This window comes from Homo sapiens, chromosome 11 (genome assembly GCF_000001405.40).
Source record: "Homo sapiens chromosome 11, GRCh38.p14 Primary Assembly".
Classification (NCBI taxonomy): Eukaryota; Metazoa; Chordata; class Mammalia; order Primates; family Hominidae; genus Homo; species Homo sapiens.
The window spans coordinates 45,982,619-45,996,509 of NC_000011.10; the positions used below are offsets into that span (position 1 = coordinate 45,982,619).

Here is a 13,891-nt window from a genome sequence, read left to right on the forward strand (position 1 = left end):
CTTGGTGACTGCTAGAACATTTAGACATTTAAAAATTAAGTAATTATTTAGAGTTGCTTCAGTCCTCCTCCCCATCAGACATCAAACATATTAACGAACTAGCTAACGTGCAGCATCAGCAGCCAGAGAAAGGAACCCTAAGAGCTCTTACAAAACAAAAACAACAATAAAAAACCCAAAACAGATCAAATCAGAAGAAGGAGATAAATCAGGAGGAAATAATACAACATAAACATGACACCTGCCAAAAAATAAACTTTGGACAAAAACAGCACAGGAAACTAATTACTATACCAGTCACAAAAGGAAAGGGTGTTTTTTTCTCCTCTACAGCCATCCTTAGGAAACACAATGTGCTCTCCTAATCACTGCCTAGCTAAAGTACACTAGAAGCAAGAAACAAAGCCCAGAACCCATTTCCAATGTCATGTACAACAGAAGGGAACAGTAGGGAAAGCAGGAGCAAGGGATGCGGGCTAGAGTACTACTCTTCAGCCATATGGCTAGAGCAAGGTGACGACCAATCAGAACCAGAATCAGGAGCGTGGGAGTCAAGTGAGTCACACTGCATTCACAACTGCTCCTCCCCCAGGGCCTGAAACAAAGCCGTGGAAGCTTGGGGTGGGGGCTGGTGGGGGGACATGATCAAAATACTTGCAAACTTACATCAGTCCTTGAGAGGAGGGAAAAAAAAAAGGAAAAAGAAAGAGAGCTCTGCATTACAGGTCAGATCATATGAGCTGGGTAAAGCTTTCTTTAAAAGATAGCGTTGGTATGTCAAACTGCCACTCAGAAATGAATTGTCCCTTACTCCTTGCTGTGTTCACCAGATTAGAATACTGCGTGTGTGGTTATACATGTCTGTTGCTATCTGTGAAAAAAAAAAATTTTTAAATCAAGATTTTGAGGAAGCACTGATGCCCTCTGTCACTTAAATATAGATGACTGCACTTAGAAACCAGTAACTGAAAGCCAGGTGAGCTCTGCAGCAGAGGTGCTCCTTAGGTGTGGAGGCCCTGCAGGCTCTTCCAAGGACTGGGAGTAAAGGAGAGTTGCTGTGCATATTAGCTGGCTTTTCTAAGTCTCACAATCCAGTCTCGTTCTAGTTCAGTCTTGCAGCTCTGGCAAACACAGCACTCAAATGACTTCAGAGGGACCCCGGATTTAGGTCAGTACCACTTCTGGGTGGCAGCAAGAGAATACGGCGAAAATATCTCAAAAACCCTAGCTGTGTGGTATCATCCAAGGTTCTCACTGCTCCCTATATAAAGGATATCCTCTCATCTCCACAGGAGATGAGCCTATATTTTTACTACTATGTGTTTTAAATGAAGACGTCATGACTGCTGCTGGTCACTGACGAAGGTTATACTGGCATACATGATTTGATATTTTCAAAGGTATTCACATATAATGGAGATCTTTAAATGTAGCTAACTATATTGGAACATTATCCTGAAGCTTTGAGAAAGGGCTAAATTTCACAAACTGGCCATTCATCATTCACTGATAAGTTAATGAGAGTTAAAAGAGAGGGAAAAAATCAGGGAAATGAAAAAAGAAAGCTGGAAAGAACAAAGACGGAAGGGAGAGAGGGAGAAAAAATTAATAACTTATCATCTTTTCTTCTTAATATATTTCTATAAACAATAAGCCAACATGCCAGGCCTCCAGAACTGCTAGTACCGCCCACTTCAATCCATCTGTCAAGAACTGCTCCATAAACCCAGCATGTAACAAGGAGCCTTAGATTCCCTTGACATTCGCATCACTGGGTTTCATCAGGGCTTGTTCAGGCAGAAGAGTTCACAGAGCCTCTGACACTTCAAGTCACAGTTTCCAAGACAGGTAGTCACGGTGATCAATATTGTGACATTCAGCGATACTATCAACGTGTTCACACGACAGCAAGACAGATCCTGAAGAAAAATACGGAATTTTATAGGTCTAATACAACAGAAAATCAGGTTCGTTTTTCCACCGTTTAAGTCACGTTCCATGGCTTTTGTCAACAGAGAAGGGAGACGGAGAGACGGAAGGACTGCCCCCACCCAATCAACCCACCAGTTTATTCCTATCAAAAATTGCTCCCACAAATTTTAGAAAGCTTCTCTCAAAAGAAACTCCAAGACCCTGCCCTCCACAACTGGATGTCAGTGCTGCAAGTCTCTGCTTTTTCACACATTCAGTCACTCCACTGGTTTGTGCTCTACATGGCAGTATCTGTTGCGTATCAATTATTAGAGGGCCACACCCACTCAAGACATCTTCTTACACAGTATTGCCTTAAAGATGCATCCTTTTATTCCTTCCATGAATCAACATGCAATTTAAAAATACAACCTTCACTCTTTATACCAGAGGCTGATAGAGACTTGTAACTTTTCACAAATGCAGAAAGGTATCAAATCTTACTCAAAATCTTTCTGGGTCTTCAGACACACCAATTGCTCAAAATGAAACCAAGGATACTAAATTTTACGCGTATGGAAAAACTAACCTGGAGAAATGTTTATTTGTTGATGAGATCAGAACTTACTCAAAGAGGAAAAAAAAGACTTTCTACCGTCTAACTAAAACTCAGCCACTGCATTGATAAGTCACACCAATATTCATCAACGCTGAGGATGCAGGAAGGAGACAGGGCAGTCTTCAGAATGTGCCACAAAATTATCCTCTAAAGAAGAGGGGATGTGTTACTGTCATAACATTAGAGACAAAATTACAATCTAGAGTAAAATGTATGTATTGTTTAATGGAAACAGAAACTAAGTGAAGATTTCACCATTTTATGAACAAAAACACAGAATGCCATTTTATGGACAAACACACAGAAGAGAAACTCAAGATAAACTCCCTCCTTAATGCAAGTAAAATTCAATAAGAGAATCTGCACTGGAGTTATTGGAGGGGATAGTCCAGGCAAGACACAGGATAGAATTCTAACAGAGGAAGACAGGGAGGAATACTGGTGGCAGAAGCTATAAAAATATACTTAGCTAAAATAATTGCACTTTCTTCATTTTGTAAGATACTAGAAAGTTTTCCCCAGACTCTCTGAGATTCACAAAGAATTAGACAAATAGTTTCTTTCCCTTTTTAACCTCTTTTAAAAAGTACATATCCTTTTAAAATACCACCTGTTTGACAGAAACAGCATCTACAACCTCATCTTACACAGTGAACTGGACACAATGTCTACAAAAGAAGGTCTCTTTCCTGGTTTTGAGATTTGGGGACATAATTATTTTATAGTTCTCAAGTTGTCATGGAATTTATATAGTACAAATAAACAAATTGACAACAGCAGCAACTGTAATTATCAGAGATTTTTTTCAGTAAAGTTTAAAATTCTCTGCATGGATGTTTAACAGATGGCAAAGAATGCATATATCATGGTATTGATTAGACTTCGGCTTACTTTTTTAATTAAAAAATATTCTTTGGGGCTTATTCTTCCTTCAAAACACACACACACACACACACACACAGAGGTATTTACATCAATGGATTTTACATCTCATCTCCATAGGAGATGAGACCCTTTATTAATATCATTAGGATTTACAGTCCATCTCTCTAAAAATTTAGACTTTAGACCTTTTATTTGCTAGCCTGATTGAAATGCAGTTTTCTTATTTAATTCACTCATGCTCTAATAGGTAAACTCAACCCCATCTTCCCCCTAACTTGATATGTATGACTATAAAAGACTAATATTGATATAGTCAGACTTTGCCTAAATTTAGAGACCCTTCTAAAAACCTGGGACTGCCTTTAATTTGTGTCAAACAAGAAAGAGTGTGGCTGTTGTACTCAAGAGAGATGTGACCCCTAGAGAATTACAGATTCTAATATGTAACATACGACGATGCTGCAGCAAAAAAGTATAAACACATAAACTACAATCGAACAATGCATACTAGGAATGGTAGTTGTAATATATTTATGTGTGATAAAAGACCTAAAAGTCCAGATGGCTTACATTCAAGTTTTCTACATTTCTTTGAAGCACTAAACTATACCGCCCTCCTTCCTTCAGAAAAATATTGGGAATCAAATTAATTAATGGTGGGGAATGCTTAGGAAACTGTCAGGGGCAATGTGAAAAAAAGGGATAGTAACTAATGAATGACACAATTTGTCTAGTATGAATTTTTAACTCAGAGCAACAGCTAATTAAATGTGACTTTTATTTCCAATGTCAATTATATTTCAATCACTTGATTTTTAACATCTAATCATTTTAATGCTAGTTCAATCTATGTTTGGCTATTTTTTTTTTAATGACAACTGCCAAAAAGAAAGTACAATATCAAAGCGAATGCTACCTGTTGCCTTTTAATCTCAGAAATCAAATATATTAGGATATATATCCCTGTGGAAATCTAGGTACATCCCAGATTTCTTATACCTCTATGGTGGTTCAGGGCCATAATTATGAATGCGTAAAAGAGATGCCCAATTTAAATGTAACCTGGGCCAAGCACAGTGGCTCATGCCTGTAGTCCCAGCTACTTGGGAGGCTGAGACAGGAAGATCCCTTAAGCCCAGCAGTTTGAAGCTTCAGTGAGCTATAATCATGCCACTACACTCCAGCCTGGGCAACAGAGCGAGACTGTATCATAAATAAATGTATGTATGTATGTATGTATGTATGTATGTAACCTGACCCATCAAAGACCCTAGACGCAGTAAATACCTAAGAACCATTTATAATCTGCACAATTTAGCTGTTTGTTACCATAAAAAAGCACCTGAGGCCAGGCGTGGTGGCTCACACCTGTAATCCTGGCACTTTGGGAGGCCGAGGTGGGCGAATCACAAGGTCAGGAGTTCGAGACCAGCCTGGCAAATATGGTGAAACTCCGTCTCTACTAAAAATACAAAAAATTAGCTGGGCATAGTGGTGGGCGCCTGTAATCCCAGCTACTCGGGAGGCTGAGGCAGGAGAATTGCTTTAACCCAGGAGGCAGAAGTTGCAGTGAGCCAAGATCACGCCACTGTACTCCAGCCTGGGTGACAGAGCAAGACCCCGTCTCAAAAAAAAAAAAAAAAAAAAAAAAAAAGCACCTGAATCATTGTGTTTGTACCACAATAAGATATATCATAGAGGCTATTAATTTGTAAATTAAGCTCCAATAGAGCAAAACGTCTGTCCCTCTGTAACTGTCTGTTTACAGAACACCGCTGCACATACCATCAGCTTGTCATTCATCATTACATGGCTGTATCCCACAACCTAAAGGCAGCACTGCTTTGTTAATATCAGAATTGTCTTGGACACTACAGAAATTCTCCCATTCCTCTGCACTGTAGCTGCTGTGGTTTTCCTCACAAAAGAATGCTGACTGGAGATGGCTGCACAGTAGCTGTCCCTGACAAGTTGGATATGAAAATACAATTTAAGTACAGTGATGATGCTAAATTGGAGGAGGGGAAAGGAGGAACAAAACCAAAGCCCCTATCATTTTATGGAACACTGCTCAGACAAAACAAATTGTTTTACCTACTCCAAGCCCTAGGTACCATTTGAGATAATGTAGGAAGTCACATTTTCACAGAAACACAAGACAGAATCAGATGCTAGAAGAGGTAAATATAACAGATTATTTAACCAAATTCTATGCAGAATACATCCACTAAGAAATAGATCCATTATTTTCAAAGATGAGGATACCTTTTAAGAATCCTCAACTCTGTAAGTTTTCTTAGAAGACAGAAAAAGACAATAATATTAGAAAAATATATCGTAGCAGGCAGTATATATCATGTAGAAAATATTATATGATGAAATGTAATATTTGCCTTACATTTAAACAAAAGTAACACTTGTATATAACTAAACACTGGCATTTTTAATTGGGAAGTATTTTTAACAAAAGTACATTCTTAATATCACACTCTTGATGCTTAAAATCATAATTTAAAAAATCATCTACAGTAATAGCACAGGCACATAAATTTTAAAAGATTCTAAAGCTGCTAGGCCAGGCGTGGTGGCTCACCCCTGTAATCCCAGCACTTTGGGAGGCTGAGGCTGGATGACCACTTGAGACCAGGAGTTCGAGACCAGCCTGGCCAACATGGCAAAAATCCCGTCTCTACAGAAAATACAAAAATTAGCCAGGCATGGTGGTGGCACAATTGTAGTCCCAGCTACTCGGGAAGCTGAGGCATGAGAACTGCTTGAACTCAGGAGGTGGAGGTTGCAGTGAGCCATGATCCTGCCATTGTACTTCAGCCTGGGTGACAGAGCGAGACTGTCTTTAAAAAAAGAAAGAAAAGATTCTAAAGCTGCTGAATGCTACCCTCTTAGTTTCACAAAGTATTCCTAATTTCAGTAGTTAAATTTACCACCAAATATTTGTTACAATCACTTAAAGAAAAAAATGAACAATGTTATAAATTTACTTTCTGACAAGACACCCCTCGTCAAACAACAGGGAGGGTGCAAGTTCCTCACAAGTGCAGCCTGCCAAAATAATTACTGATTAACTTCATGGAATTGGCTCTTCCAAGACATGTGATAAAGGATAATTTGCACTTCTCTGTATTTATCTGAGTTTACTTCATCAGAGACACAAGAAACCTGAACTCATCTTTCAGAATTTCAGAACACATTTGCTTTTGTTTGTTTTAAATCATTAGTACTACAAATCTTATTAAAGAGAGAGGTTCAGCATTGTAGAAGAAAAGCATGAACGATCTCTTAATGAATAAAACAAATTTGGTTAAAAATTTAGCTGGGGTGGGCCAGACGCGGTGGCTCATGCCTATAATCCCAGCACTTTGGGAGGCCGAAGTGGGCAGATCACAAGGTCAGGAGATCAAGACCAACCTGGCTAACACGGTGAAACCCCATCTCTACTAAAAAAAAAAAAAAAAAAAATACAAAAAATTAGCCGGGCCTGATGTTGCGCACCTGTAGTTCCAGCTACTCGGGAGGCTGAGGCAGGAGCATCTCTTGGACCCAGGAGGTGGAGGTTGCAGTGAGCCAATATCATGCCACTGCACTCCAGCCTGGGTGACAGAGTGAAACTGTCTCAAAATAAATAAATAAATAAATAAAAATAAAAATAAAAAAATAAAAAATTTAGCTGGGCACAGTGGCTCATGCCTATAATTCCAGCACTTTGGGAGGCCAATGCAGGAGGACTGCTTGGGCCCAGGAGTTCGAGACCAGCCTGGGCAACAAAGTGAGACCCTGTCTCTACAAAAAATACAAAAATTAGCCAAGGATGGTGGCATACACCGGCAGTATCAGCTACTCAGGAGGCTGAGGCTGGCTTGAGCCCAGGAGGTTGAGGCTGCAGTGAGCCATGATCGTGCCACTGCACTTCAGCCTGGGCAACAGAGTGAGACCCTGACTCAAAAAATAAATAAATAAAATTAAAAGAAAGAGAATTTTTTAAATCTTAAGCCTGAAGAAAAACATTTTTCACAGGTGATGAAAATTACAAAATCTAATTACAAAATCTAATCCACAAATTTCTACACAAATATTTACAGTCTTCACACCTGAACATACACATGTATGCACCCACTAACACAAACATACACACACCCCTCTCACACTTTAGAAAGGATGGAATGGCCACAGTAAAAATCATTTATAGCATTTTCATCTTCTTTTTTTTTTTTTTTTTTTTTTTTTTCAAACAGGATCTCACTCTGTCCCCCAGGCTGGAGTGCAGTGGCATGATCTGGGCTCACTGCAGCCTTGACTTCCTGGCCTCAAGTGATCCTCCCACCTCAGCTCCCCAAGGAGCTGGGACTACACGAATGCACCACCACGCCCGGCTAATTTTTTGTATTTTTAGTAGAGACATGGTTTCGCCATGTTGCCTAGGCTGGTCTCAAACTCCTGGACTCAAGCGATCCACCCGCCTCAGCCTCCCAAAGTGCTGGGATTACAGGTGTGTGCCACTGCACCTAGCCCATTTTCATCTTCTTCCAGTATACTCCTAAGTACTGAAGCTGTGATTCATGCTTTTACTGTATTGTTCTCCAGTTTCTACATACAGCAAAAGTATTGACATGCATGGTCAAAAGAGGACACTACAATGAACATAAAGGCAGTCCCTTGATTTGTTTTTTTTTTTTAAAGAAGACTTTATTTTTAGAGCAGTTTTAGGTTCAGAACAAAACTGAACAGAAAGTAGAGTTCCCACATACTCCTGGCCTCCCCACCCCACATCTCCCCACTATCAACAAGCTACACATAGCAGAACATTTGTTACAATCGAACCTACACTGACACCTCAATACTGTCGAAGTCCACAGTTTAAACTAGTGTTCACTCCTGATGCTGTACATTCCATGGATTTAGACAAACATATAATGACATACAGCCACCATTATACTATCACACAGAGTAGTTTCACTGTCCTGAAATTCCTCTATGCCTGTCTATTCAGCACAACCTTCCCTCACCCTCTGGCAACCACTCCTCTTTTTACTGCCTCCATAGTTCTACCCTTTCCAGAATGTCATAGAGTTGGAGTCATACAGTATGCAGCCTTTCCAAATTGGTTTCTTTCACTCAGTAATAAGCATGTAAGGTTCTTCTATGTTTTTCATGGTTTGATAGTTCATTTCTTTTTAGCTCTCAATAATATTGCATTGTCTGAATGTATCACAGTAGTACCTTGATTTTTTCCATATGGTCTAATGTAGTAGCTAGTGAATTCTATAACTGTTACATAAAAACGAAGTAATAATATCAGATGGATATTACTTGCCAGGTAGAACAATGAGGCTCTGAGTAATTAAGTGACTAAACCTAGGTCACAAATCAGGGATAGAGTCAGACTTAAAGAGTTCCAACTCCTGATAACTAATTCCATATTCCCACCTCAAACCCCCAACACCAGTATCTGGCTTGCTGGTAAGGATCTGGAGCCCTCACACCTGTAATACAGCTGCAGTAAGCTTATACACACACACACACATGCACGCGTGCACTTTTTCTCCTCCGCTCTGCTTTTAGAAAAAATAAGTAGAGAGGCAGTATTGTGCTGTAAAAATAATACACTGGGTCGAGAAACCTAGGTTCTGTCACTAAACAAGGTTTGTGACCTTTGGTCAGTTATTTACCCAATCTTGGTCTCAGCTTCTGCACTCAATCTCTAAATTATCTTCTATTAAAATTTTATGAATCTCTGAATGGCAAGAATACATTCCTGATGTATATCTTTACCTCTATAGCACTGCACAGAGAAAAATGCTCACAAAGATGATCCTGACACACCCAAAGAAGCTAAATCATTAAAGAACAGTTTCATTCAGGGGTTGAAATCTCACTCACGTGAACATGTAAACTGATGATTACATTTTGCAAGACATGTAATAGGATTATTACCTATTGCCAGGCAAGTAATATTAATACAAGAGAATGAAGCAGGCCAGGTGTAAGATACTAGGCATGATAGGGACTGACATCAACTGGAGAGGCAGTGCCCTAATAACACTAATCAATGAACTGCTTTTAATATTGTGAGTCAAACAAAGTATCTTTGCTGATAGATAAAGCCCATGGGCCACCAGTTTTCAACCCTCAGACGGTAATTACACTCACTGAACTGTAACTACTAGGAAAGTGGAATTAGACATTACTTAGAAAATTTTTCAGCCCGGCATGGTGGCTCATGCTTGTAATCCTAGCACTTTGGGAGGCTGAGGCGGGCAGATCATGAGGTCAGGAGATCAAGACCATCCTGGCTAACATGGTGAAACCCCGTCTATACTAAAAATACAAAAAAAAAAAAAATTAGCCAGGCATGGTGGCGGGCGCCTGTAGTCCCAGCTACTCGGGAGGCTGAGGCAGGAGAATGGCGTGAACCCAGGAGGCAGAGCTTGCAGTGAGCTGAGATCGCGCCACTGCACTCCAGCCTGAGCGCTGGGTGACAGAGCGAGACTCCGTCTCAAAAAAGAAAATTTTTTGACATCACAAGGTGAACCAAAAATGATTTTAGATAACCAGAAAATTCAAATGGCCTTCTGACTAATCAAAATTTTATCATAATGGAAGAGCTGGGATGTGACTTTAGTGGGAAAATGCATAGACAAAAGGCAAGTTATATGAATGAGTTCTGAGAATATGCTAAGATAAAATATCTGAAGACACAGGGAAACACACAACTATATACAAAATATAACAGTGGAAATGAAAATGGTAGTAATACGTTTCATAATGGTGCCTACTTTATCAAAACAGCTTAAAGTACCTTACATATAATTTAACCCCTGTCACATAAGACTGACACAAGGATAAACTGAAATCCGTTCCTCTACCACTGAACCGCAGCTACCTCAAGTGGTGGAGAAAGCAGTTGTTTAAAGAGCTGTAGAGTAGAGGTCAGAAAACTGAAAACTACCTTGCTGAAGCTATCTAGGGAATTACAGTAAGCAAAATGTAATAATCTCACTTGGAATCCAACCAGAACACTGAAACTAACATCTTTTACATTTAACTGGTTCTCATTTCTGAGTACTCTGATTTTTCAAAATCATTTAATTTACATGATTAAGAAAAAACAATTCATGTTATAAACATACGACTATTTAATAATTTTTCAAGAATCTTACTTTCTGAGTAGACCCTAAATGAAAAATGATGGTACTATTTTCCACAAATATTTCCCTAATGATGTGATTTTTCTGTGTGCTTGTGTGTATAAGTAATCACATATTTACACAGCACTTTACGATTGTAAATTTTGAAACCCTCTTATCAAATAAGACTCTCAGAACTGTGCAGGGCTAATTATGTTAACTGTCATTGATTCAGATGGGGAGAGTGAGGCACATGGTGATGGGTGACCAATCAAAAGTTACACAGTTCTGTGATAGTAAAACTGGGACTAGAATATGGAATCCCTGCCCTCTGGAAAACTAGTTTGAATGAAGCTCTGTTCACTAACAAAAAGCTGGAGCTCATTTTTCTGAGCCAACTTTTCTGGGGCTCACAGGAGGTTGGGTGGCATCCAAGCAGACTGACTGAATGCAGAGTACACTAGTATGGGGAGCTGGGCCAACAGGGAGAGATGTCCCTTTCTGGTCATATTCTCTAGATACAGTCAACTGCCAGGAAACAGAGTCAGGCTGTTGAGATCCAAGGAAGTAGAGTAACCTACACAATAAATTGAAAGGGCCAAGCAGGAGAGGAGCCAGTGGATGCAGTGATGCTGGGAAACGGGACGGTCAGAGATGAGGCTCGGGCAGCTGGCGAGATAGCTCTGGAGCCTGTTACACCGACAGTGCCTATCTGAGATGAATTTCCTAGAAACTGCTCTAAGTACTTGGAAAGGCTGGGAACGTTCCTAAAGGGACTGGGCAGGGCTAGATAACTTGCTTCAAAGTGCCAGGGAGACTGTACTTCTGTCATCCAAGACAGTCTCTTTGGCAGGGCAGCTGAGCAGGGATAAATGCTGGAGCCAACCCAACAAGAATGATATACTTCCTCGTCTACATAGTATGATGGACAATTTTAAGATTCTGTTGCTAACCTTACAGCCTCAAGCCAAAAACTTCAATTCTGGAATAATGACTTCAATTTTAAAAATGGAATGGACACTGGCAACATTTAGACTGGGTAAAGTGTTGGGCTCTGGTGGGTTTTTAAAGTAAATCATAGCAAACTTTACTTACCATCCACTAAAGCTGGATTTAAAAATTTGATTCACTAACAGATTTATCTTACTGCCATAAAAATTATGTAGCTATTTGTCTTTTGAAATAGAGCTCAGATAATCAAAACCCATATGCAAAGGGGCTGCGGAAATACCATTACAAACCACACAGAGAGGTTTTAAAACCAGCCTCCCTGCTTTCAGAGCTGCTACTAGGAATCCTGGCTGCCCCTCCTCCACGTATCAGGCAAGACCAGGGCTCAGTCAGTAAGACTGCTGTGTAAGTGACGCAGCCATCACTTCTGCTTAGTCTCCACAGGCCTAATGTATGTGATGCTGAATTTACTTATCTCAGTAGGCAGCACAGCCTCACCAAGAGTGGTTATGTTTTAGGCTTTGTAAGAACAAGATGTCAGGGGTTTTGCTGTTGCATCATTCTGCAACACCTTATTTCAACTCTGTGCTGAGCTGGCAAAAGCTCTAAATCAACCCAGCTCTGCAACCCAGCTCGCTTAGCTTACCCTTCAGATGTTCCAGTAGTAGGACGACTTTGCAATATTCACTGGCAACGTGACACACTAGTAACAGTTTGTCTAGTCATCACACGCTTTGAATGTCTCCCTGGTATTTCTCTGTCCTTGTCCCTCTGTGCTGCATTTTCCTTACTAAATATTTCTGATAATATTTTCAACCAAAGGACGTAAGAATCTAACTCCATCTTGAGCCCACAGAAATGTGTATAATCTCTGTGCTATATGCAGACCTGGGAGAAAGACCTAATTGTCAGACTGTACCTAAGCGTCCTAGAGTCTACTCTGCTTAGATGTTGAGAATGAGAAGAGACAATTATTTCCATCCCCTTTATAAGAATACAGCTGATTTCAGGTTGGCTGCTAAGGCAAGTGTGATAGGCTTGCTTGGAGAAAGCATGGATATTTGTTGTCTGATGGGATACAGTGGAACGAACCCACTCATCAGCAGGCTATCCACTTTTGCCACTAATCATAGGGGAGAAAGCACTTTTAGGAAAAGAAAATGGAACAAATTCAGTGGAAAAGAAGTGACACAAAAGTGCAATGTTTAACAAGCAGCTGCTCTTGGTGGCTGAAGGTGCTCCTGTCCTAACAGAGACTCCCCTAACAGGAAGGAATCATTCTTACACAGGGGTGCATACCTATACTTCACAGCATGTTTGTGTGACAGTTATACTGTCATAATTTTAGATGGTTAAACCTCTACTCCCGGGTTTATAAAAGATCAGAGCACTTGTCACTCTTGGTGCAGGTAGAGTGAGATAGAGTGGTTGAGCAGTTCATTTTTCTTTATAATTACACTCCATTAACCTTCCACATGAGAGCTCCCCTGTGCTTTCATACCAGCAGCACCAACTGGCTGCATTTGATAAGGCTCTACAGAGTCTGCAAGACCAGCACATGTAACAAAAGGAAGACTTTAATACTGCAGACTTAAGCAGAAGCTGAACGCAGCTCTGTTACTTATTGGCACACATATTCAGCTCAATTATACATGTGTAGACAAAAACAAACCAAAAACATAAAGCTGGAAACCAGTAAACAAATGATGGGAGCTTATTTAAATCAAAAGTGATTCAAAAACCTTCTGGTAATCTTCATAATATTCAAACCCCAAATTCATTATTATTTTCAGTATATGGCTTTTTTTAAAAAAATAATTTTTATTTATTTATTTAGACACAGGGTCTCCACTGTCACCCAGGCTGGAGTGCAGTGGTGTGATCATAGCTCATTATAACCTCAAACTCCCCGGCTCAAGTGATCCTCCCACCTCAGTCTCCCAAGTAGCTAGAGCTACAGGCATACACCACCAAATCCAGCCAATTTTTAAGTTTTCTGTAGAGATGAGGTCTCACTGAATTGCCCAGGCTGGTCAGAAACCCCCGGCTTCAAGTCACCCTCCTGGCTCGGCCTCCCAAAGTGAGCCACCATGCCTAGCCATTATTGTTTTTCTAACCTTTGATAATGTGGCATCCTATTAAAAACATAGGATCTAGTACTCAAGGTAGTAAAGCTTACAGGTTGACACATTATAGAGTGATCTATATTACAATTAGATCACATTGGTGTCTACAAGCTACATGTGGTATTTACTTGCTAAAGCATTTCTCTTTATGTATTGCTCAGTAACTCACTTAAAAAATATGCTGGTTAAGAACTAGCACTAAGTCTGTCCCTATCATCCTTGACAGTGGCCACATAAATGATTTCCCTTTTTGAGAG

At 40.0% G+C, this 13,891-nt stretch overlaps 1 protein-coding gene across 55 annotated transcripts in view, besides 3 other annotated features; it reads right to left on the reverse strand.

Moving 5' to 3' along the window:
- The window catches only part of PHF21A (PHD finger protein 21A), a 192,136-nt gene that overhangs the window by 53,300 nt on the left and 124,945 nt on the right, over positions 1-13,891 (reverse strand). The gene's annotated exons all lie outside the window — the stretch shown is intronic.
- Positions 420-714: an enhancer, noted in NCBI's record as "tiled region #8215; HepG2 Activating non-DNase unmatched - State 23:Low, and K562 Activating DNase unmatched - State 1:Tss". NCBI's record gives its function as "activates a minimal TATA promoter and a strong SV40 promoter by Sharpr-MPRA in HepG2 and K562 cells {active_cell/tissue: HepG2 | K562}" and the evidence as "EXISTENCE:reporter gene assay evidence [ECO:0000049][PMID:27701403]".
- Positions 11,168-11,349: a silencer, noted in NCBI's record as "fragment chr11:46015337-46015518 (GRCh37/hg19 assembly coordinates)". NCBI's record gives its function as "represses an EF-1alpha promoter that drives an FKBP-Casp9 reporter gene in an ReSE screen in K562 erythroleukemia cells {active_cell/tissue: K562}" and the evidence as "EXISTENCE:reporter gene assay evidence [ECO:0000049][PMID:32094911]".
- Positions 11,790-12,335: an enhancer, noted in NCBI's record as "H3K27ac-H3K4me1 hESC enhancer chr11:46015959-46016504 (GRCh37/hg19 assembly coordinates)". NCBI's record gives its function as "activates a minimal SCP1, AML or CMV promoter by ChIP-STARR-seq in naive and primed H9 embryonic stem cells {active_cell/tissue: H9 hESC(naive and primed)}" and the evidence as "EXISTENCE:reporter gene assay evidence [ECO:0000049][PMID:30033119]".